The sequence below is a fragment of the Homo sapiens genome, chromosome 9 (genome assembly GCF_000001405.40).
Source record: "Homo sapiens chromosome 9, GRCh38.p14 Primary Assembly".
NCBI classification, from domain to species: Eukaryota; Metazoa; Chordata; class Mammalia; order Primates; family Hominidae; genus Homo; species Homo sapiens.
The window spans coordinates 3464873-3489341 of record NC_000009.12 but is presented as its reverse complement, the minus strand read 5'-3'; the positions used below and the strand labels follow the sequence as shown (position 1 = coordinate 3489341).

The 24469-nt window shown below is 35.2% G+C and overlaps 1 protein-coding gene across 28 annotated transcripts in view, besides 4 other annotated features; it reads left to right on the top strand.

The window, feature by feature from the left end:
* RFX3 (regulatory factor X3) overlaps positions 1 to 24469 on the top strand; it is a 307705-nt gene that overhangs the window by 36660 nt on the left and 246576 nt on the right. For 4 of the 28 annotated variants that reach the window (XM_017015000.3, XM_047423693.1, XM_006716843.3 and 1 more), the window contains one exon: positions 447 to 566. The exons of 21 other annotated variants lie outside the window; for them this stretch is intronic. The gene's annotated coding sequence lies outside the window, so the exon portion shown is untranslated. The remainder of the gene's footprint in view (positions 1 to 446; positions 567 to 24469) is intronic. 3 more of the 28 variants (XM_006716844.3, XM_047423692.1, XM_011517998.3) reach the window with 1 other exon arrangement.
* Positions 9872 to 11071: an enhancer, noted in NCBI's record as "MED14-independent group 3 enhancer chr9:3478271-3479470 (GRCh37/hg19 assembly coordinates)". NCBI's record gives its function as "activates an origin of replication core promoter dependent on BRD2, BRD4, P300/CBP and CDK7 cofactors, and independent of MED14, by STARR-seq in HCT116 cells {active_cell/tissue: HCT116}" and the evidence as "EXISTENCE:reporter gene assay evidence [ECO:0000049][PMID:35650434]".
* Positions 10800 to 10849: an enhancer, noted in NCBI's record as "active region_28140". NCBI's record gives its function as "activates an Ori minimal core promoter by ATAC-STARR-seq in GM12878 lymphoblastoid cells {active_cell/tissue: GM12878}" and the evidence as "EXISTENCE:reporter gene assay evidence [ECO:0000049][PMID:35858748]".
* Positions 13591 to 13740: an enhancer, noted in NCBI's record as "active region_28139". NCBI's record gives its function as "activates an Ori minimal core promoter by ATAC-STARR-seq in GM12878 lymphoblastoid cells {active_cell/tissue: GM12878}" and the evidence as "EXISTENCE:reporter gene assay evidence [ECO:0000049][PMID:35858748]".
* Positions 17139 to 17433: a silencer, noted in NCBI's record as "tiled region #5337; HepG2 Repressive non-DNase unmatched - State 23:Low". NCBI's record gives its function as "represses a minimal TATA promoter and a strong SV40 promoter by Sharpr-MPRA in HepG2 cells {active_cell/tissue: HepG2}" and the evidence as "EXISTENCE:reporter gene assay evidence [ECO:0000049][PMID:27701403]".

Below are 24469 nucleotides of genomic sequence, written 5' to 3'. Positions count from 1 at the left end.
TGGATAGGTGGGAAGGGTGTCAGAGGGATAGGCATAGTGTCTGTGAGTACTTGTAAGCTGTCATCATTGGTCTTTGAGGTTATGTTTGCATCCAAATTACTTCCTTACCTTTCCAAAGAGTTGAAATGCAATTGCCAGCCCATTGAGGATGATCAAACATTGCTATTTTAATGTTTCTTAATTTTTAATAAATGAAGCTTATATTATTAAAATTGGTATTATTTAAAAATAATCATGTGATTTACTTTTTTTTAAGCATGTATAATCTGGTAAATTTTTGAAAAGTATTAATAATTTATCTTTAAATACTACACTTTAATTTCTAAGTTCTAAAAATTGTGTTCATGTTGTTTCAATCAAAGATGTGATGATGAAATAGAATCCATCAGTCTTCACAGGGAACAAGGTACTCCTTATTTCAATTTGATATATGGTCTTTGTTTTAGCAGCCATGGAGGATACTCTAGTTTCTTTGGGAAGATAAACACTCAATCTGCTAGTTAAGAGACAAAGCTCAAGAGAAATAAGCTGAAGCTGTAACCTCCATTTCAAACTTGTGGTTCTGCGTAAGTCCTCTGTAAAGTACATCAAAAATTCCCCTATGCATTTTCTACAATTTTATGGATATAAGGTTGAAAGAGAAATTGAGTAGTTTTGTGTCTAAGGCCTTGACAACATTATTTATAGTTAGTAATTGCATTTATGTATAGAAGTTACAATTTCAGAGTTACAATAATCTTTATCATAGGTAGTATATTTAAAGGGACTTAGTACTAACTCTTTTAAGTAGTTTTCCTAGGAAATAATTACAGTTTTATTATATTTCTCAAACCATTTGAGTTGTCTGTGTCAAACAAACCAGTTGGACGTTCTTTTCCCTTATCACTGAGTTTTCATGATTGAAGATATCTGACTATGGACATTGATATTATACCTAATAATTGTGAATCTTTTTATGGATTTGCAGAAAAGCGTTTCCATAGTATACTTTTATTAAAAGTACTTACAAACTTATTTATCAAAAATAGTTTAGAGGAAATTAATCAATAGATGTGTTGGTGAAGTCCTTCTCTTGGTAAAGTAATAGGAAATGAGCTTATCTTAAATTATCTGAGAGAAGCAGTAGAGAACAATTCTATATGTGTTTCTCCTTCCCTCTTTTTCTCTTTCAATTTGATTTTTGGACCTCTTTTCATTTTGATAACATTAAACTCCTTTGTAGTATGTGAAGTAAGGAAGTATCTTGGGAACGGGAGTGGTAGGAAAAGAAGCACGTTTATTTTAAAATATTGCCTAGCCTATAGAACAGTAATTATAATACGCCTCATATTTTCAATAGGTCATGCTACACAAAGGTCATGCTTTACAAAGCTCTTTTGTGTGTAGCATCTTATTTAGCTTTTCCCAACAGTAAGTTATATGGGGAAGGAATTGTTTCCAAATTTAGGATGAGGAAACTTGAGATAGAAAGGTCAAGAAACACTTTTCCAGATCTTTTGACTCTTACTCTAGAATTTGTATCTACTCTATTAATAATTTTTAAATCATATTTTTAATAACTTGAATTTTCAGGGGACACCTTTGGAGGGATAATTGGAAGCAGAGCAGGTCCATTTTTGTCTTTTCTTAAATTAGGACTCTGAGTAGTACTTTACTGGGAGACAGGGTTTCGAAGCTGCTCTCTATATTGCTTTTCTAGGTGGAAGGACTGTAAATTAGAGTAGTAATCTATACCTCTCTTTTTGTTATTGCAGTTGCTAGAAGTGATGATCAAAGTTATATGCTGCTTTTTCTAATGGCATCGTGGATATAGAAATAAGAATTACACTCTTGGCAGTTTACTTTACTTTTATTGCTTTCCAACTAATAGTTTCTGACTTAATACTGTACACAGGATATACAAGTTACTAACCTTTTACCAGGGCCAATAACAATTGGTCTTTAAAGAGTAGTATAGTTTTAAAAATGTAAATGTGAAAAATTATAAAAATCAAAATAGAAACTGTCCATATTAAACATAGCATGTCTTGGGCTTAAAATGACATTAGTAAATATCCTCATTCTTTGTACAGCTTAAAATATTGCTTGAATTTCATAACCCCAAGCCTGGTATTTAATTAAGTACATTGGTTGTTAAAAGTAATTTCCATAAGCTATTGTCTGTTTATAGAACTTTGAAAATTCTAGGCCGGGCATGGTGGCTTGTGCCTGTAATCTCAGCACTTTGGGATGTCAAGGTAGAAGGATCCCTTGAGCCCAGGAATTGGAGACCAGCCTGGGCAACACAGGGAGAGGCTGTCTCTATTAAAAAAAAAGAGAAAATTCTAGGTTATGATAGCATTTATGAGTAATGGTAATAGTTTCTAGAAATGGCTCCCTTTTCATATTGTAGAATTCTAGAGTCTTTGATAATAATGAGTTCCAAAATATGTTTTCACTTTACCCAAATGTGCATTTAAATCTTATTGTAACAGTCTATGAAATTACTTATGTGCACATAGAAAATAAATCGTATCTGGGGCCCATCAAAAACATGATAACGTTTAATAAGGGTTAGAAGTTAATCACACAAATTCGAAGTAACTGTTTAGACTCAAATCATAGCATTCTACAAATTGAATATGTATTAGCAATTTTGTACTTTTAGATATGAGCATGAATCCGGAGTTTAATATTCAAAAGCTGGTGATTATTATTTTTCTTTAACTTGGTCTTTGAGCATTTAGTTGAGAGTACTAAACTAAACACTCTGAACTAATAAAGTTTCATTATTTTGTCCATAGCTTATTCTGGACATAAAGCAGTTGGAGAGACACTGAAAAGGGCAGAAAAAATGGGTATTGACAGCAGTGAGAAAAGATTGGAGCCATGGAAACTATTTTGTATAGGAAAGGAGGGGAAAGAACTTAAAATTAGTTTTCAAATTTATTTGTATTTCTGTTTACTCTTTGTTCCAAACTCCCAGCTAAAATCGATAAAAGCAGCATAATATGTTAAAGAGAGCCGTAACTTGTTGCCTTGAAAGCTTTTAGAAAGGGTGATTTTTATTTGTCATAAAAAAGACAGTCCCTAAAAGTTCACTGGGCTCTGGAGTAGGGTAGAGAGGGATATTTGGTAGGTCATACCCCACAAAAATCTTTTAAGACCAGAATAGTTAGTAATTCATCTAAATAATATCTGTATTATTCTTTTTTTTTTTTTTTTTTTTTTTTTGGTTTGAGACAGTTTCACTTTTGTTGCCCAGGCTGGAGTGCAATGGGATGATCTCGGCTCACTGCAACCTCCGCCTCCTGGGTTCAAGCGATTCCCCTGCCTCAGCCTCCTGAGTAGCTGGGATTACAGGCAATGCGCCACCATGCCTGGCTAATTTTGTATTTTTAGTGGAGACAGGGTTTCTCCACGTTGGTCAGGCTGGTCTCGAACTCCCGACTTCAGGTGATCCGCCCACCTCGGCCTCCCAAAGTGTTGGGATTACAGGTGTGAGCCACTGCACTCAGCCAATATCTATTATTCTTAAAGTCTTTACCAGGTTTAAAGTTCTTGGATTATAATTCTGATGCTAATTGCTTGGAAATGTATTGCTATGTATTTATGAATATTCTCTTATAACTAAAGATGATGCATGTAATTTTTGCAGATTTTAAATTGTTTTTCAGAGATAAACTAAGATAAAAATTACAAGTTCATTTCAAATTTGGGATTATAGACAGAACTAAAATTCTTTTATTCTGAGAGAGATTACAAATTCCGTATTATGTACACTTTAAAAATAATTGATAACAAATACAGAGGGAAGCAAAAAATTAGTCAACAATGTTAGAATGAAGCAGTATCCTTTGGCAAAGTGGTCTAGCGTAAGCAGCTCATGGCTTTTTGAGTGAGTCAAACCTGAGTTTGACTATTGGTTCACTCACTTACTAATTCAATATTCTTATGTAACATGAGGACATTAATTGTTACCTTGAAGACTTGTGAAAATTAAGTAAAGGACTTATGCAAAGTGTGTAATCCAGTGCCTGGCACAGAATAGTGCTTCAGAAGTAATAGTTTCATTCATTTCTTATATAAATGTAAAAGTTTCTTCAGTAGATTGGGTTAGGAAAAACCAATAGAACAGGGAGGTGGTATAGGGGCAGATTTAACTCCAGTCATTTCCAAGGGGAAATGGTTTTCAGTATGTTTTTTATTTTTATTTTTTGTATTTACTATTAATTTAATTAATTTTGTTTTGAGATAGGCTCTTGCTCTGTTTCCCAGACTGGAGTGCGGTGATACCGTCATAGTTCACTGAAGCCTTGAACTCCCTGGCTCCAGCAGTCTTCCCGCTTCAGCCTCCTGCCTGAGCCTCCCAAGTAGCTAGGACTAGAGGTGTGTCATCATGCCCAGCTTTTTTTTTTCCTTTTCTTTCTGTAGAGATGGGGTGGGGGGGGGTGTCTCCCTATGTTGCTCAGGCTGGTCTTGAACTCCTGTCCTCAAGTGAGCCTTCCTTTTTGGCCTCCCAAAGGGTTAGGATTACAGGTTGAGCCACTGCACCCAGCCTTTGTTTACTATTTAACTGCCCAAATTTTACTATATTCTGTGGTAGGCAACAAAAACTTAATTGCTTTATTACCTTAGGGAGAAACCAGTTTTGGTCCTACCTTGATTAAAAATCTTCAAAAACTTGATCCGCTTTTAGTAAGAAAGCTACACAGAGTTGTAAGTAGAAAACCACATGTGAAGTAGAAAATACTAAATGTTTTCAGATACTAACTTCTGGAGAAACTCCCATCTATCAAAAGGAAGTAAATGTGTACTTAAGAGTTAAATGTGGCAGATACATTATTTTCTTGCAATTTATGGTTAATCAGCTCTCATTTTGTTTTATTTTGATTAGCGTAGTTATCTTAGGTCCCTCTGACCACTCCTCATCCCTACCCACCCCTTTCTCTGTAAGTCTACTGACTCCTTTAGCTACCTTGCATTGTCTTGTATTTCATACACTAGCTAGCTAACATTCATAACAATAACTAGTATTTATTAAGTGCTAGTTGTGTGCCAGGCACTGAGGTAAGCACCTTATATGAACTCATTTAATTTTTATGTGCTGTCTCCGAGGGCAGTAGGTTCTATATATCCATGATCTTTTATATTCATTTCTGAAATTCAAAGGGTTTGAAAATGGTTTCCTATATTTATAGCAAACTAATTTGGCTGAAAAACCTGAACTAAGTGAGATGAAGCTATGTAAAGGTCTTTATATATCCTACATCTGCAACATTGTTTTTATTTTTTGCTACAGAAACATTAGTGTGTATGATTATGAGTTGCTGCCCTATATTCACCTGGGATGTTATATATATATTTGGTATTCACAAAATTCAAAAAATTTTGAGTTGTGTAATATATCTGGCCCATAGATTTAGAGTAGGGGGTGGTGAACTTGTTTCGTTACTCCATTTTTGTAGATGAGAAGGTTTATACTAGAAGACATGAGGTAAATTCCCAAGTTTATAAATACTATGTTAAGATATCAAGTAATTTACTCAGGTAATGCATGTATAAAATCAGACTCAAACCCAGCAGTTTACCCCAGAAACCGTATTCTTAAACTAGTGTTGCCACGGCAAGATTGGCACTGGTATGTATGTCTTCAACTGATACAGTTGCTGATCTTTACTAATAGAGGAAAGCATATACCTGGATATCTATAATCTGGATTTCAATGTGAATTATTGTGCTTTTATAAGTATCTTAGGTATCAATGTGTCTGATTATAGAGTTCCCCTAAGTATAACAGAGCCCGGCCACTATGGCCTGTCTTAGGTAGAGGTAGAATCTGGTTTCTCTGTTGTCACTTCTTTTCCCTCCTTTGTATTATCTGTGTCTCATTCAGTGCCATAAATTGCATATATTGGTTTTATTCAACAAATATTTATTTAATACCTGTTATGCAGTAGTCTGGAAATACAACATTGAGCAAGAAAATGGTACCTGTCTCAACAGGGACACTATTGTTATTATAGATTGGACATATCTTGGTGGGGTACCCCATGTTGCAGCATATTTGGCATCTCTGGGCCAAAATGGCATTAGAATCACTCCCCTCCCTGCATCATTGTGACAACTAAAATGACCCTAAACATTTCCCAAAGTCTTCTGTTTGGGGGTCGGGTAGTGGTGTATCTGGGTGATACTCAGGCTCAGCCCTGAGAGTAGTAGCTGCCCACTTGCCTGCCCATCCACTATCCAAGTGGAATAATTGATTTTAAGTATTTATTTTTGCTGAATCCTGGCATAATGCAAAATAAACAGCTGAGAGATCTATGAAGCAAATAGCTAAACTGCTTATACTCTTGGTACAATGGCTAAACTCAAAAGCAAGATTGGTTGTGGATAGTCTACCCATAGCTAATTGAGAATTCCCATTATACTGTGTAAATAATAAGCATAAGTTAATAAGCTCCCAAGTGGACATACCAAGTGATGCTGGATTTTTTTTTTCAGTTACAGAATCAAGGTCTCTAGGCCCTTACATATGCAAGTTATTCAAAGACATATAATATAGCACACTTAGCATATCTTGTAACACTTATACATATCTGTTTCATTTTCATTTTTAAGTGACATTTTACAGTAAATTCCCAGTTCTAATATATGTGAATAGAAACAACTATGAGGGTTTTATGATTTTGAATCCATCGTTTGAAAAAGGAATAAAATGTAAATCTTCATTCAGTATCCATATCAGCTGCTTTTTGGGCAATATTTTATATTAAACGTAATTAACATTCAAAGTTCACAGAACCTGTTCATGCTTATGACAGTTGACATTATTTTAAGTGAAAACAATTTTATTAAATTGCAATTATAAAAGTTTATATATGCTTAATGGGAAGCATTCAGAAAATACAGAAACGTACAAAGAAAGTAAAAATATGTATGTTCTTGTGCTCACAGATGACTACATATCTGCTTGAGCATTATTGTCATGTCTTCTCGGGATTTCTCCGTGAGTGCATATGTGCTCACTCTGGCACTCTTGGGTGTGCTTCTGCTTGTGTGTGTATGTGCTCTTTTCTCCTACAAATCAAAGTTTATTATGAAAATTGGGTCATACCATTTTTTTTTTACTTTCACACTCATATTTTGAACATCTTTTAATGGTAATGAATAAAATTTTGTATCTTTATTAGCATTGTATGTATGTATCATGTATTTAAACAATTCTCTACGTAGACATTTGGGTGGTATCCTATACAGTATTTTGGCATGTATGTGCATCTTTGTGTAGCTGTCCAATTATTTTCTTTATATGAATTCCTAGGTGTGGAATTGCTGAGTAAATGCTGGGTACATTTAGAATATTTTTATCAATTATCAGAGTGTTCTCTAGAAAGGTTGTACCATTTCATATGCCCAGCAATAATGCTTTAATGTTTTGTTTCTTTGTTTACTCTGACACTGGATATAATCAGTCTTTTTATTTATTTTTTTTATTTTGGCAATCGAATAGTTGAATAAATCTATTTGAATTTGCATTTCTTCAATAACTAATGACAAAAATACAAAGAATTCATTAGCTGTTCATATTTCTTTTGTTGAGTTTCCATTTATATCTTCCATCTGTTTTTCTGCTGGGCAGTTTCTTTTCCTCTTCTTAAATTTCAAGATCTCTTCATATTATAGGATATGGAAATTTGTGATCCATAATGCACCTTTTTTTTAGTTTAAAAATATGATTCTTTTTGTTTTAGTGATTTTTGTATGTAATTTTTTTTTGCTTTTTATTCCAGTTGATGTCCCCACATTATAACATGATCATTATAATTCAAAATAATTCATTAGATAGGTTAAATATTAGATTTTTTTTTTTAAAAAATGTACTTTTCAGATGGGAAACTATTTTCTTGATGTGGAAGGTTAAATTGTTCATGTTAGTTAGATGTGTTTGCTATGATTACAGTTTTAATAGCTGTATATAAAAATAAGGATTGTGAGAGAGAAATCCTTTGATATATTTGAACAACGTTGCATTAAAGCCAGATAGCCTTGGCTTTATTTGTTCTTTAATTTATCCAACAAATATTTATCAAGTGCCTATTAGGCATTAGATGCTAAGAATGGATTTTTCATTTGCTGGCTGTGTAACTATGGGCAGGTTACTTAAAGTAGCCAAGTGTCAGTTTCTTTATTTGTAAATGAGGGATAATACCTACCGTATTGAGTTATTGTAAGGGTTATAGATTATCCAAAGTAACCAACAGCACCTGACATATAATTGGACAATAATAAATTGTAGTTAGTGTTATTATTCTTCATAGTAACAAAACATAATGTAATTTTAGCTTGCTATTATATATAATATTGCTGTGGTAGTCATTTAGCATATAGGGTAATTGATGATGGTTATAATTTTATTAATAGGGAGGAGAATGGAGCCTAGCTAGGTTGATTATACTTACCATCCTGTCAGCTAAATAATATTTCCTTATATTTGTATAGCAGTTTACAGCTTTCAAAGCTCTTATTTATTCTACAGCGTTCCTCTAAGACAGGCAGGGCATGTATAATTTTTCCTGTTTTACAATACAGCAGCTGAAGCTTAGAGAGATTAATTGACTTGTCTAAGGTCATATGGCTTTTAAGTGATTAACAGGTTCCACTTATAATTAAGATTCCTGGTGAACGTAGATTGACTCTCATTGTGGGAAAGAACAGAGAATAGAATCTGACTATAATTGCTCAGTCTTCAAGCTTTAGCCATTTTATAGTTTCTTGTGGTTGTGTCCATTCCAGTCATCTGAACATTGGCCTGAATGTTTTAGTTGTCTATTACATTGATGGCATTCATGCTCGTGTGAAGTCACTTTCCTTTCAGTTTGGGTTGGGCCTGTAGCTTGTTTTAACAAAGAGAATGCAAAGGGATTAAAGCTCTTCCAGGTCTGGGTGCAAAAAGGCCCGACAACTTATGCTTTTGTGTTTTCGAGAGAGAGGATCATCATGTAAGAATCTGACCGTTCTCCTAGAGAGACCCAGTGGAAAAGAGGCCACATGGAGAGGGAGAATTTCTGAGATTACATGGAGAGAGATGCTTAGCCATGCTAGTATCCTAGCTGATCTCATTTCTCACCTGCTGGCTGAAAGCAGTAGTATGAATGACCACCAGCAAGATGACTGTAAGAACTGCCTAGTTGAGCCCTGCTCAGATTGCAGAATTATGACCAAATAAAATGGTGGTTGTTGTGCCAGTAAGTTTTGGGGTGGTTTGTTACACAACAAAAGAAAAGCAAAAGAAACATGCGACAATATTCTTGAAAATAAAAGCCTTGCTAAAAGATGTTTACTTTTCTCGGCCTACCTTGACAGTTTTGGTCTTTCCTTGGCTTGCCAATACCAGCTAACAAAAGAGAAATAGTAATGAACAACTCTTTTCTCTTCCAGAAGCCCGCGATTTTGGCCTATACTTGGGTGAATCTGAGGTAAACTCAATCTCTGTTCTGAGTCTCTTCAGAGAAATCTCAAGAGATAGGGTTGCCTCCTAAGTCAAGTATCTGATTCTTCTTTTCTGTCGATTTCCCACTTCCAGTTTTCTGTGGTTTTAAAAAAATTTCTTACTATCAGAGTATAGTTGGTTTTGGCCTCAGTCAGCCAAGTAAGACAAGATGGACTAGGCTTTCCTCCTCACTTTTACTTGTTTCTGTTGTCCCCAAAAGATTTGAGAGGCCGTTTAGGACTGAGAGTGGCTCTGAGACCAGTAATCACCTTTGTTTTTGATGATTCACATATTAGTTAACAGGAAAGATGTGATAAATTGTTTATGCAGTTTATTTTTTCCTGTCTCACAGATCTGTTTCACTCTCATTTAAGTACTGAAATACAGATTTTTTTCATAAGTTTCTATTAGAGATAAGAATCAGTGATCTAAAAATTTTAAGTATATTTTTAAAAAATCAAACTAAGTGAGGGTTTGTTTTTTTTGGTTAAGATCTTTTTGTCCTGAAAATTATAAATTCAGAATATTACAGAACTTGATCAACTTCCAGAATGGTGGAGTGAGGGCCTCAGTGAATTTGTGCTGCCTATACAACAACAAAAATATGGGTAAAATAATGAAAATCAGCCATTTTAGAATTCTGGCAATTAAGCAGGAGTATGAATTGAAAATCATCTGTCCAAGAGAAAACTAGTGAATCTTGGGAAGACCAGTGGGGTCTGCGATATTTTAACTTGGGGTTATTCTCATCTCTCTCTCCAGCTTAGTGGTGTAGCTAAAAGCTGGCAGTATTGCAGACAATGGAGAGAGCTGACCACTTCTGGAGCCCCATTGAAGGCACTATCCCCAGAGCACAGTTAATATTTTGTCCCAACTTGCAGCTCCCTGGGAAAACTCTTTTCAGAGAGAGTGGCTGGATATTTGATTTGACTCTGAACTCAGCTCAGTTGGGGGAAGAAAAAGCTTACCCCCAGGGCATTACTGAAACAATAGCAAACTGTTGGCAAAATGTCAATTGCCTAAGGCTGTGATTTCAGTTGAGGCAAAGGAAGAATCTGGCCAGGAATTTAAAAGGAAAGTCTGGAGAACTAGCCAACTATAGGGAACTTTGGAAAGCTCTGGCATATTCCTGGGTATTTAAAAGGCTGTACAATGTGCAAGTCTGTACACATGCCCGGAAATGACCTGGGAAAGGAGAATGTCACCTCTGACTGATCTTGAGGCACTGTGTAAGCAGGAAGTGAAAATCAGTGCTATTTGTAAGCTTCCTGAAGTTTGAAGGTATGACTTCTCATGAAGATTTCTTTGGCAAAAGGTAGAAGACATATAGGCAAAGCATTTAAGGAAATCTTTTAAATGATCATTGGTTGACTACTACATTTTACTGGTCCAGGTATGACTTCTTGGAAGCCAGGCTTACAAATAAAAACAAGATCCTAAAAAAAAAAAAAAAAAAAGTTCTAGCAGAGAACTCGGTGGCCACACACTACGGGGAATACAGGATCTGTAAAATTCGTTCATGAAAGTACTAAAGAATCAGCATCAAGAAAAACAACACACTGATGATTAAAAAATTTAGGGGAATAATGTGGAGCAATCTGATATGAGATTTGTTAAAATATATTACCTAAAATGTTCAGTTTTAACAAAAATTGAGAAATGCAAAGAAACAGGAAATAAAACACACAGAGACAAATAATAAAAAACGAACAAAAAAAGTCCCTGTGGGAGCCTAGATTTTAGACTTTGTAGTCTTTAAGTTAGCTATTACAAATACATTCAAAGAACTAAATGAAACCATGTCTAAAGAATTAAAGGGAAGCATCAGAATGGTGTTTCACCAGAGAAAGAGTATCAATAAAGATAGAAATTATTAAAAAACAAGGAAGTTCTGGAGCTTAAAAGTATAATAACTGAAATGAAAAATTCACTAGAGGAGCTCAACAACAGATATAAATTGGCAAATGAAGGAATCTTTTAACTCGAAGTTAGGTCAATAGAGATTGTTCAATGTGAGGATCAGAAAGAAAAATGAACAGAGTCTCAAAAGACTTATGTGACTCCATTAAATGTTGTGCCAACATGGACATTATAGGATTCCCAGAAGATGAGAATGAGGCAGAAAGAATATTTAAAAAAAAATGGCAGAAAACTTTCCAAACTTGCTGAAAAATATTACTCTGTGCTACACATCCAAGAAGCTCACTGTAATCCAAGTTGAATAAGCCCAAAGTGATCCATACCTAGACCCATCATAGTTGAATTTAAAGAAAAATCTTGAAAGTAGCAGGAGAAAAATGACTTGTTACAAGGAATCCTCAATAGGCTTAATAGCTGACTTACGAGAAACCCTGGAGGCTAGAAGACATTTTCAACATTGAAAGTAAAAGACTGTCAACCAGTAATTCTCTATTTAGCTAAACTTTTCTTCAAAACTGAAAGTGAAATTAAGACGTTTCCAAATAGATAAAAACTGAAAGGATTCTCACGAACTCTAAGAAATGTTAAAGGGAGTCTTTCAGGTTGAAATGAAAGGACACTTAATGGTAAATTTTAATCCGTGTGAAGAAATAAAGAGGAATGGTTAAAGGTAACTACAGGCATTATGAAAGACATGTACAAATAGATTGAATAATAGATTGAAGTTTTTGTTAGGGATAGGCTCTAAATCCATGTCTTTTGTATAGTATAAATTGTGATTCTGTATTGGAATTATACTTTGCTGTCTGGAGAAGTGTTTATAAAAGTAATGAAAATTTTGGTTTCAGGTAAAACAAAAATTAGAACAAAAATTATACTGAAAATAATTATTACATAAATTTTGAATGATAACTATGAGCTAGTGACATATATGTATTACATCATTTTCTCATTACAATATCTCACTAGGGTGTGTTATCTAGATTTTATAGATGGGGAAAATTGAATTAAGAAAGAAAGTGACTTGCCCAAGGTCATTTAAGTAGTAAGTGGTGGAGCTAGGATTTGAGCTGTGGTCTGTTTAACACTAAAGCCCAAGCTTTTAAATACTGCTTTACACCTTAATATCCGGTGCTTTAATATTCTTGGCCTTCTTTCAAAAACTTCCCTCTTCCTGTCAATTCCAATAAATGCGTTTTTGTTTGTAACATTTTTTTCTCCAGTTATTTAAAACACAACTGAATAAAGCAATTCTTATAAAGTTGTATTGATGGGCTTATGATACATAAAAGATGGATTCCTTCATAGTTTTACAGATATGGTTCTCTTCTGGAATTTATAATACAACATGAATGCATCACTACCTTATAAGGCAGAGATAAGGTGCTGTTTGTCTGTGCCTCTAGTTTCTAAAATTGACTTGGTTTAATGGCATCATCTTAATGGTGATTGCTGTCACTGAGCTACTTCATCTCTTCCCCTGTTTTCAAGCAGTCCATAAATACTAAACTTTGCATCAATGCTGATAAACTAGCTACCTTCCAGTGCCCTATATTTGATGATCCTCTCTTGGCACTTAATAAGTTCAGCTTATAGATGATGTTTATGATTATATTCTGTGGGCAGCAAGCCATCCAGATGCCGAGGCAAGAGACCAGGGGCACGAGTTGTTCCAGTGTAATAAAGAACATAAAACAACAAGAGTTATACTAGATCTACATAGACATGATTATATATGAATATCATATGAATTATATGTATATATTATATATATTATATATGAGTATCATTAATCATTTGTAGCAATTACTCTTTATGCCAATATTATAATAATACTCGCTCTATAATCATAACCTAGGAAAAACTAGGCCATACAGAGATAGGAGCTGAGGGGACATAGTGAGAAGTGACCAGAAGACAAGAGTGTGAGCCGTCTGTCATGCCTGGACAGGGCCACCAGAGAGCTCCTTGGTCTAGCGGTAACGCCAGCGTCTGGGAAGATGCCTGTTGCCAAGCAGACTGTGGTCTAGTGGTAGCGTCAGTGCGAAGGGAAAACACCTACTACTTAGCAGACTGGGAAGGGGAGTCTCCCTTTCCCCAGGGGAGTTTAGAGAAGACACTCTACTCCACCTCTTGTGGAGGGCCTGACATCAGTCAAGCCTGCCCACAGTTATCTGGAGGCCTGACTGTCTCCCTGTGATGCTGTGCTTCAGTGGTCACCCTCCTAGTCCACTTTCATGTTCCATCCTGTACACCTGGCTCTGCCTTTTAGGCAGCAGTAGCAAAATTAGTGAAAGTACTAAAAGTCTCTGATATGCAGAAACAATATTGTAATATTATGCAGAAATAATAGCGTATGCTATTGCATACGCTGTATATGCGATATGCAGAAATAGTAGCATAAGCTGTCCTCTCTCTCTCCCTCTCTCTCTGTCTGCCTTGGCTGCCAGGCAGGGAAGGGCCCCCTGTCTAGTGGACATGTGACTCATGTGACCTTGTCAATCATTGGAGATGACTCACACTCCTTACCCTTCCCCTTTTGCCTTGTTTCCAATAAATAACAGCACAGCCTGGCATTCGGGGCCACTACCGGTCTCTGCGTCTTGGTGGTTGCGGTCCCCCGGGCCCAGCTGTCTTTTCTTTTATCTCTTTGTCTTGTGTCTTTATTTCTACAATCTCTCGTCTCTGCACACGGGGAGAAAAACCCACTGACCCTGTGGGGCTGGACCCTACAGTGTTCAAGATGAAGATATAATGCTTATAAGCATCCATTTATAACTGTTTATAGTTGGCAACCTACCTTCCTTCCTTCCTTCCTTTTTCTTTTTCTTTCTTTTTTTTTTTTTGGAGACAGGGTCTTGCTCTGTTGCCCAGGCTGTTAGTGCAGTGGCACAATTATAGCTCACTGCAGCCTAGATCACCTGGGCTCAAGCAATCTTCCTGCCTCAGCCTCCCGAGTAGCTAGGACTATAGGCATGTGTCACCACACCCAGCTAATTTTTTACTTTTTGTGGAGATGGGATCTTCCTGTGTTGCCCAGGCTGGTCTTCAACTCTTGGTTGCCTCAAGTGATTCTCCTTCCTTGGCCTCCCAAAGTGCGGAGATTACAGGCATGAGCCACCATACCTGGCTGCTAGTTTGGTCATTTTCTGTTTCACAGACATTTAGATTGATTAGGGTTCTAATGGTGTATTGTTGCAAACCTGTCTTTGATTCTTTTAAAGATTATACTGCAATATTTTGTGGTTTGGGCAAATAAGCACTGTTTCTGGAGACAAATCTGTATTCAGAGTCTTGGCTGCCACTTGTTGGCTGACTTACTTTTAGATATGTTTCTTCTGAGTCAGTAATCTCATCTATAAATTGGAGACAGTGATACTAAACCTTTTAACTTTAATTTTAAAAGCGTCATTGATATTATGAGCTTCTATGAGTTTGTGTTTCGGGGAAGTCTTATAACCAATGAGACAATCACGGAATTTCCTTCTTGCAAATGGTGTAGGTAAAGGAACTTTGAAACTTCAGTGGTACTTTCATAGTCTGTATTTGACAAGGGATCTTTTCTGATGAGATTGGTTCTTGTAGTTTGACTGTTAATAGAAAAAGTTAAAACAGTAGGTCATAAAAAGTGCTGCATACTTCTCACTAACATTTTAACTTGAAATGTGCAAAATGTATAAATAGACTGTTTTTGTGACTAGGACCAAGGGCCTTTTTTTCAATATAGGCTTGCTGATTGGAACTGCAAGTCTTATATAAATCTACATCTATAACAAGTCATATCCAGTTTATGCTTTATTTCTTTAATATAGATTAAAAAATTGAGACACTTGCAGAGCAGTGGTTCTCAAAGTGTGGTTCCCAGCCCAGCAGCCTCAGCATCATGGGAATTTCATAGCATGCAAATTCTTTGGTTTTACTCCAGACCTACTGAATCAGAAACTATGGAAGGTGGGGCTCAGTATTCTATGCTTGGCTTCCATGCTACATTTTCAGAAACATTATATTCTATATTTTATTATTTTTCCCAGGTTTAAAAATATTTCTCTTATCTTTGCCTATTTCAACAGCAGTATTTTGCAGTGACTTGCCTTTATCAAGTCTTTTCAATGCGTTTGACTTAGTTTTTAAAGATACAAGACCTTTTATTTTTGCTTTTATGGTTTATGTGATATTTAATTAAATTAGCTAATTACAATAACAATAAAACTCCCCTGTTGAGGTTTTGGAACAAATATTGTTCTGAGTGAATATACAGCTCAGCAGTTGGGAGCAGAAGTGTTGAGGGGCATGCTAGAGAGACTCCTGCAGGCTGTGAGTTTTCAGTATTCTGTGGGCATCTGTCAGTATGGTTAAAGAGGAAATGAACAATGTGGGTTTACATAGCAAGCTGGGTAAGTGAAGCTTGATCAAGAGAGCTTCTCATGTGTATTATTCTATGTAGGCTTATATATTTCTTGGATCCATTTATCTTTATAACCCCTAATTCAGTACGCATGTTTTAGACTTTTGTTAGTCTGTAGGTAGTCTTCTTGGCTAGACCCCAGAGTTAGAAATATGTTTTTAGTGATTTTCAGATCTCTCAGTTCAGTATTGTGGAGAAATAAGAGAACCCAGTAGTTCATATGAAAAATATGTGCCTGTTATTATGACACCAAAGGGGAAACTCTGTAGCAGCTAATACTTGAAGTAGAAAACAGATGGAAATCTTCTTCTCTAGCCTAAGACTGCAGCTTTTGCCCTGGCTTATAGTGCCTACTTTGATTTGGGAAATCCAATTATGTGTGGAGATAATTCCACAGGTGAAGTGTTTGCCTACCATTGAGATTCTTAAGGGATATATAAGTCGATCCAGACTCTGGCATGCTGAATCGAAACTGTTGCTCCTCAGCAACATTCTAGATGGAGTTTTGATTGAGCTATTTTTTAATGAGTGTTTTAATTATTACTATATTTTTAACCACATTGCTAATCTCACAAAAGGAAAGGGCCTGAATAGCCTGTCTAAGTCAACTCTGGATCATCTCGTTACTGCAGTAGTTGGATCATAATACTGCTGTGCAACATTAATAGAAAACTACATAATGTACAGAAAATAACTATTGCATAGGAACATCAGGATACTATAGCAGTTGTCCAATAAAACAGCAGTATTGGTCCCCCTGAAGTTGTTCAGATAGGGATTTGATAAGCCTAGTATTCATTCTTCACTGACACAGTAACTCAATCATTTCACTGACAAAATAATGGTTGCTACATATCTGATTTAACAAAGAAATGAATGTTGCTTAAATCCTTACGATAGATTGAAGTTTTTGTTAGGGATAGGCTCTAAATCCGTATCTTTTGTATAGTATAAATTGTGATTCTGTATTGGAATTATACTTTGCTGTCTGGAGAAGTGTTTATAAAAGTAATGAAAATTTTGGTTTCAGGTAAAACAAAAATTAGAACAAAAATTATACTGAAAATAATTATTACATAAATTTTGAATGATAACTATGAGCTAGTGACATATATGTATTACATCATTTTCTCATTACAGTATCTCACTAGGGTGTGTTATCTAGATTTTATAGATGGGGAAAATTGAATTAAGAAAGAAAGTGACTTGCCCAAGGTCATTTAAGTAGTAAGTGGTGGAGCTAGGATTTGAGCTGTGGTCTGTTTAACACTAAAGCCCAAGCTTTTAAATACTGCTTTACACCTTAATATCCGGTGCTTTAATATTCTTGGCCTTCTTTCAAAAACTTCCCTCTTCCTGTCAATTCCAGAGATAACATTCAATAACTTGACAACAGTGACCTTTCTAAACAAATACAGTGCGTTACAGAACCAGATGGCCTAAGATTATATTTTATTTTTCTGGCTCAAAATAAATTGCCTGCCCTAAGACTGATAAAGTCCAAAAAAAGACCCTTCTGTGTCCCAGGACCTCATCAGGCCACATGGCCAGCCAGTGCTGTTTATCATAAGTCAGCCACGAGTAGAAAACCTATGTCTTTATACTATAATTTAGATTAGGACCTAATGAAGGGGCAAGAAGCTGGTTTACTAAATAAGATCATTCAGTAATCGCAGTGCATTTGGTAGAAAGATTCTGAAGAAGTGAAGACAGAATTCTAGGCAGTACTGCTGTCTGTTCTATAAATTGGATGTAAGGAGAAGGCTGATTTATAATTCAACAAACTCCCAAATTAGGCATCCCTTTTTCCCCCTTGCTGGGATTTAAGGAGGATTTTTTCTAATAACTAGCCACCTTATTCTTGATCATTCAAAATCTGGGTGAGAATTTTCTTAAAAGTCTTAGACAGATATATTTTAAACGTAATTCTATATTGGGAACATAAGTGATTATGCCACACATAGGCATAAACAATGCTTTCATGAGTTCAATTATACTTAATGAATTTCACACTTAGAGAGACAAGTTTAAGCAGGGTAGGCATAGAAATGTTTCAAAGATATGTTGAAGCCAAACTTGTAATTGACAGTCAGATATAGTGACAAAAGAAACACTAGACTTGGAATTAGGAGACCTCTGTTTGAGACTTGGCTTTACCATTACTCTGTAAGGATCCTTGAGCAAGTGATTTAAATTCTCCAAGACTCAGTTATTTGTAAAATGATGCCAGAATGATATTACTTGCCTTATTTTATTGCAGGGTTGTTCTGAGGACAAAGTTAGGGAACAGGTGACAAAGGTACAGTGATGTACAAATGGATGCTGTTATTATGGCAGCATCTAATATATATAAGGGTAAATGTCCTGAGCTGTGAGTGGGACAGATTTGCCTTTAGAATTGCTCTGCTGTTTAGTAATTTGGTGCTTTGGGCCAAAGCACCACAATCTTTTTGAATTTCAGTACTCTCATCTGTATAAAATAATCAACATCACAGATTTGTGAGAATTACATTAATGTAGATACTATATTTAAATTTTTGTAAAATAGTGATGGGGTAGGAGTTATTATCTTGAACAGATTTCAGAAAGTTAGAAAAGAAATAGCCAGAGATTTTTTATCTGTTCCCAAACATCTTAATAAGATAAATTACTCATAGAATGTTAGAATGCTAGAAGAGCCCTGTGAAGGTCATCTATCTTATCCTGCTCATTTAAAGACAAGGATCACCTCCTAATACTTTTGTCAGTTGTACTCTGTTTATATGCATAGATGATAACATCTCACCAGCATCATCAATTGTAAAGGATAGCAACTGTCTCTCAATCACAATAGATACAGATTTCTGAAAATGTAAAGCCATGTCAGAGAAGAACTCTGGAGCTAGTATCGGGCTGTGAAAAGAATTTGGGCTTTGGCCCGGTGCGGTGGCTCACTGCCTGTAATCCCAGCACTCTGGGAGGCCGAGGCGGGCGGATCACGAGGTCAGGAGATCGAGACCATCCTTGCTAACATGGTGAAACCCCGTCTCTACTAAAAAAAAAAAAGAAAAAAAGAAAAAATTAGCCGGGTGTGGTGGTGGGCACCTGTAGTCCCAGCTACTCGGGAGGCTAAGGCAGGAGAATGGCGTGAACCCGGTAGGCGGAGCTTGTAGTGAGTCAAGATCGCACCACTGCACTCCAGCCTGGGCGACAGAGTGAGACTCCGTCTCAAAAAAAAAAAAAAGGAAAAAGAAAAAAAGAAAAGAATCTGGGCTTTGTTGTGAAAAGTTGAGATGGAATCTTGCCCTGTCAGTTACTAGTTTGTGACAGTGAAATATTTACTTAGTATTTTGTGGCCACATAGCTATGCTGTTTTTTTGTTGTTGTTTTAACCTACCATTGTTGTTTTAACTTACCACATAGGCTATGTCTGTGTCTATACTTAAACCTGACTGGCTCTTCATTTTTACATATCATTCTTTGGATCTGAGATGTGTTTGATTTTTATGCTATTTATACTAATGGTTCTTGACCTTCTCTTTCTTGTCTCTAACACATTTGAGACTTGGGATTACAATAGTGATCCTTGAATATTGCAGGGGTGCTTGTGGCAAATCAGCATCTTGGAGTTGTCGGTTAGGTGTACTTCGAAAAGGCTTCCTTTTTAAGGCTGGTTTAGGGACTTACACATGAGCTATAATTTTTTTTTTTTTTTTTGAGACGGAGTCACGCTCTGTCACCCAGGCTGGAGTGCAGTGGCGCGATCTCAGCTCACTGCAACATGATCTATAATTTTTAAAACTATAATTATTTTGGGTCATATGTCCTGTTTTTCTTTCATTGTTGATTTTGTACGGTTGAATTTATATTGGTGTCTAAAAAATTATTTGAAAGCTAACTGGACAGTATTTTAATGTGAAATTGTAAAATAGTTTTAAGTGTATTCCCATGAGAAGAGCTGTTCCAAAGAAAATAATAGGAAAATAATATTTTATCATTGACCCAGTAAAAACAAGTGCAAAACAAATTTATGTTCACAATCAAGAATAATGACCTTTCTGCACTTTTTAGAACCCAGTATTGAGAGATTTCGTAGTTTATATATTGACTTTATCTTTGACTTATTGAAAATATTGTTTTCATCCTTATTGGGTGTCCTGGAAAAATACCCAAGTTGATCCTTAAATTTGAAAAAAGAAAATTCAGAACGAAGTATTTCTAGATTCTAATGGTACTAGACTAGAAAATAGAAGATTGGTAGGTAAAGAAAATAATGTATATGAAATAGTATATGAACACAGAAGCATAACGTATTTGTGTTCCTACATTGAACACAAATTCAGTATGCATTTTCTGTCTTTTTGCAGCAGTTCAACTTTGGACATGTATTTCTTTCTTTCTCTTTTTGTTAAATAAATGAACAGAATTTATCCCTTGATCATCTGTAACATAGTTTCATTGTAACCAATAGTCTGGGCTTTCACTTGAATGTTTTTTTAATGAATTTATCTGGAGATGCTTTGCATTTTTCTAAATTTTGGCTACACTAATTAGAGAGTGGGTATTACGAAAAACTGACAGGCAGTTTTAAAAAATATTAAATGAATTGGTTTTGAAAAGGGATACAACTATGTAGTTTTACATTTTTCAACTTGTTTTTACATTGCCCTTTAGAATGTTTAATATTTTGTAATGAAAGTATGCGGTTTTTCTTCTTTTTTTTCTTTTTTCTTTTTTTTTTTTTTTTCAAAAGGAAAACAATCGGGTAAAAATCTGAGAAATATTTTCAGTTGTCCAAGGCTAATGTTGACTTAAATAGGTCTAGGTCTTCATGGTTGACAGCTGCAGATAATTAGCTTTTTCTTTCTTAACAAAGAAAGCAAATGGAGCTGCAAGACATTCATTGCCTTTTCTGTCATCAAAATAATAATGTATGTATTTAACTCCTGCAGTTCCTTAAATTGATTTAGTGCTAAGCTGCCTACATTACATATAATAGGAATGACAAGTGAAAGCTGCAGCACATATTTGCGTGGCAAAAGGGAGCAGTGATTGACAGCAAAGTTTCTCTCTACAAGAAATAGCAGTGTTGTGGAGCTCAAAAAGGGCCAGATACATAATTCTTAAAATTGTAGAGCAGATTCATGAAATGAATTTTAAAAAGTGATTGCCACTTGGTGTACTTGAGTGTCTTTGTGTTTTTGGCTCTGGGTGAGGGGCACAGATGGACAGAATCTCACCTGACTGCCAAATATCAATAAATTCCTTTTAAGTATGTTAGTATTTGTTATTTAAGAATGATACTTACAAATTTTAGATCAAATTGTGTCTCTGTACTCAGTAACTGAGTCCTTTAGCTGTAACAATTCACTGTATTTGAAGAAGCCGAGTAATACATCTATTCAAATAAAGATTTTGAAGGCCCTAAATTGAGTTATCTTTCATGGAAAATACCCATTTTCACATGTCTGTAAAACTTGAGGCATCGTTTCTGGAAAGGTAATCACATAGGATTGGTAGTTTCTTTTGGTCAGACAGTGGTTAAATGCGATCATCTTTCAGAAGTACTCAAAAAATATTCTGGCTTTCTTTTGTTCCCATGACACATACCCAGAAGCCATGGTTGCAAGGACACTTGGTGATTGCTGCTGCATGATGCTCTGTGATGAGCCTAGAGTGCTGGGCTTCATATTATACCATGGAAATGTTTCTTATTTTGTTGACAACTCTGTGTCTGTGGGAGGCGGGGAGGGGAAGCCCTATGTGTGCTTGTACACTGGCAGCCTCTACTGGCCATTGCAAAGAGCAGCATTGTCCTCTGTTCTTTCCATTCCAGGTTGCATATGCTTTTACTTGGGTTTAGCTCTTTCTTCTTTGGTCCTCACCCTCTTTGTTGTCCTCTTTTGAAGACTAGTTATTCTGTTGGATGTCTTGATTTATAATTAATAAAGAGCTACTAGTCCAGTATTTTCATTAATAAATTAATATCATAAGTGAATGGAATTCTTCAGGACCTTAGAAGAAGTTATGAATATAACCTTTCCTTGAGAAATAATTTTCATGTAAGAGGGAAGATAGATTTATCTTTATGTAGGTTTTAAAATACTTTCTCAGTTGCAAGCCTTAATGTATGATATAGAGATTAGTCTTTTACTTATGACTGACAAAAAACCCTGATGCCTTGAAAGAAAGCCTTGGCTCAGTGATAGACTTAATTACACACACACACACGTACATACACACACACATATATATATTTGTGTGTGTGTATATATATGTATATATATGTATGTATGTACATATATATGTATATATAATATATATTGTATATACATATATACATTATATATGTATATACACATACATTATATATGTATATACATATATACATTATATACGTATATACATATATATTATGTATATACATATATACTTACATATATGTATGTATATACATATATACTTACATATATGTATGTATATACATATATACTTATATATATGTATGTATATACATATATATATATATATATAATTCTTTAGATTTAGGTATATCAGCTTTCTCTTAGAGGTTTCCAGGAAGTAGGCATAAACTCTTATTGGGCTTTATGCATATGAATACCTCCGGGGGTTGGATAGAGGGTGGTGTCTAAGCTTTAAGTCTAGACAGAAAATGATAAGTATTTGTAAATAAAAGATCCAAGGATGGTAGTAAACTGGATTATTCTGTTTCAGGGATAGAAACTTATAAAATGTTTGATCTAATATCTTTGACTTCGGGCAATAATTTGACCACAGTAGATGATTTCTCCAATAAAATAGACTCATTTCTTGACATTTACATTTTATCAGTGGCTCTACTTACTAATCACCTAGTTATCTTTGAATCTCTTGGTATTTTCAAATAAGACATCTAATTGAATCTTTTTATACAAAGTCTCCTATCCAATGGCTTCCATTCCTACTGCTACCACCAATTCCTAGATTATTACAGTAACTTTAGGTTAGTGCAAAAGTAATTGGCAAAAGCCACAATTACTTTTGTGCCAACCTATACTAATAGATTTCATTTTTTCCATGTTCTTCATCTTTTAATTCAGCCCGTACAACCTAGCCATATGCATTTGACTAAAACATTGCTTTTATTGCATCACATTTTTTTCTTTTAATAATTTATTATTTGCTTGAGAAAATGAAAAGTACTAAAGGATATAGCCAGTAGAGCAAGACAAGGAGCATGGAGCTAGGAATAGGAAGATGTGGGATTTTTGCTTTGATTTTGGCTATATGACCTTAAGCATATATGTATACCTTCCTGAGTCTCTGTTTTTCTATTATTTAAAATTATTTGTTGCCAAGATTGGTTAAAATAATGTTATATGAAATTGCCATGAGTTCTTTAGAACTCTATTTTCCTGCTACAGAGTAAAAAGACAAAATTTCTTAGTCTGGAATTTCTTTTCAAACTGCTCATTTCTGTACTATGCATGGCATAAATAGGTACTTAATGAATGCTGTTTGAATAAATTCTGTACTTCCAATCTTGTATTTCTCTCTTATTTTCCAACTCAAATATGTTGTCTCTACTCTGACCACTGAAAATGTTGTTCATATGGTCACAGCTACATCATTCTCCTGTTCTTTGCCCTGCTAAGAATGCTGTCCTTCACTTTTTTTTCAAATCCTGATTTTTAGGAATAGTCAAGTTCCCCTATCTCCTTTGAGTCCACTTTTGCTTTTTCTTTTTTTCACCATAGCAATACTTACTATCTTTACCACTCACTGCTCTATTTTGAGATATATAGTATCTTGTATTATTAATAAAAATGCCCTGTTTGCATACCTTCTCTTCTTTGTATACTGTAAACTCCTGTATAATAGGAATAATAGCTTTGATTTTTGTAGTTACTCTTTAAGGATATTTTCATTGAACTTGTAATATATCCAGATTAACATATGGGCCAAGTGCAGCGGCTCACGCTTGTAATCTCAGTACTTTGGGAGGCTGAGGCAGGTGGATCACCTAAGGTCGGGAGTTCAAGACCAGGCTGGCTAAAATGGTGAGACCCTGTCTCTACTAAAAATACAAAAAAAAAAAAAAAAAGTTACCTGGGCATGGTGGTGCATGCCTGTAATCCCAGCTACTAAGGAGGCTGAGGTAGGAGAATCACTTGAACTCAGGAGGTGGAGGTTGTGGTGAGCTGAGATCATGCTACTGCATTCCAGCCTGGGAAACAGAGTGAGACTCTGTTTCAAAAAAAGAAAAAAAGCAAAACAGGTTAACATATAAGAAATGGTTTATATTTGCCACGAGATATTAGAACAAGGATTGGCAGGTTGTTAGAAGTGAGATACTAAGATGCTGTCAGACTACTGATACTCTTGATTTATAGGGGTAAAGAGTTCAGATTGCAAGGGTTTGGGGAAGGTTCCCCTCTGGAAAAGAATGACCTGCATATTGTTATGAGTTAGTGATTCTTCTATTTTAATAAAGCACCCCTTTAACATATAGATACCTTAATTAGGAACAGGTCCTTATATATCAATATTGTTTGCTTGTGAATATAAATTAAGTGGTAAAAGGCATAGAAGTCATAGGGGTGAGAGAGACACTTACCTTTCCACCGATAACTTTTGAATTTTTTTTTTTTAAGTATTTACATGTTTATGTGTTCAAATCTAACAAATTG